The sequence below is a fragment of the Homo sapiens genome, chromosome 4, assembly GCF_000001405.40.
Source record: "Homo sapiens chromosome 4, GRCh38.p14 Primary Assembly".
In the NCBI taxonomy this organism is placed as follows: domain Eukaryota; kingdom Metazoa; phylum Chordata; class Mammalia; order Primates; family Hominidae; genus Homo; species Homo sapiens.
Genome location: NC_000004.12, coordinates 188606714 through 188608068, shown reverse-complemented (window position 1 = coordinate 188608068; position 1355 = coordinate 188606714).

The window sequence follows — 1355 nt, the reverse complement described above, 5'->3', positions numbered from 1 at the left end:
GTATGTGAGCGTTGTCAAGCAATGTCACTAAACTGGCTATAAGATGTGTCTCTGGTATAATTCTAGTACTGATTAATTGAAGAGAAAAAAGAGCATAACAAGTCCATTGGCATGCAGCACGCATGTGTCTAAACTTACCTATCTCTAGAAGTCACACCTCGTGTTTTTAAAATATCGTTCTACTCTCAACAGAATTTTTTTATCCTTATTAGGTTTCACGTATTTATTGGTGTGGGAGAATAGAAACAAGAAAACCAGGGTGAGAAAAGACTGAGACTTCAAACCGAATTCAGTCATCACTTCTCTATATTGGCCAAGCAAGACAATGGAACAATAGATTAAAGTGTTATGAATGTAAAAGACAATATAGGAAGCTGCATGAATTATTGAGGCTCCTGAAGTCATCTTACATCTGTCTGCCCAAAGAAAATGCATTCGGGAGAATTGCCTTATTGCACTTTGTGTGTGTCATTATACTAAAAAAGTCAATTTTTAAAGGAGACAAATTACATGTTCATTTTTCTCTTTATACACAATATATCAATGTACGTATTCAGGAGGATACTTCAGTGTTGGATTTTTTAATAGGAAAAAACAGAGCCTCCCCCACCCCTGCCCCGGCCAACAAATTAAACCCTGGTTCTGACATTAGCTAGCTCTTTATTCTTGATAAAGACACAGATAAAGTCAATGATCACTGAAAGATGCATCTAGCTTCAACCTTGATTTGTACACGCATTTTTATTTAAAGAAAATGTTTTAAAATAGAGACAAACAACTTGAGCACTGAAGTAAAACTGAGGAAGGACACAAAAATAAACATGGAGTCGTATTTTGAGTTCATTATGTCAAGTATTCCTCTCAGAGAACAATGGCAGGTAAAAAACAGATTAGATAAGATTTCTGATATAACATTAGGACAAGTGATGTCAAAATTTTAAAAAAATTATTTACTTACTGTTGTTCCTGATAAAATATTTTTATCATAAACCTAATATTAGCATTTCTCATTTAGTAAAACAAAGGCAAATTTGATTGCGGTTTGAATCTCTTTTAGTTTTTAAAATACTTCTAATATGTGTAAAAAAGAAGTTTAACCCTAAATTATGTATCTCATTTTAAACACGTTATTTAACATTGCTGAGGGCTGCAAAAATATGAAGAGATTAGAATCAATTTTCTGAGCACCTTCCGTATCCAGGGTACCAGAGAAGAAAGAAGAGGTGTTCAAAGTTCAATGTATTGCTTATTGAACAAATACTGAATGAATTCCTCACACATGCCAGGGAAGGCTGATCTATAGCAGCATTGTTATATAAGTGCTGTAAAGGAGATAAACATGTACTATGGAAAAA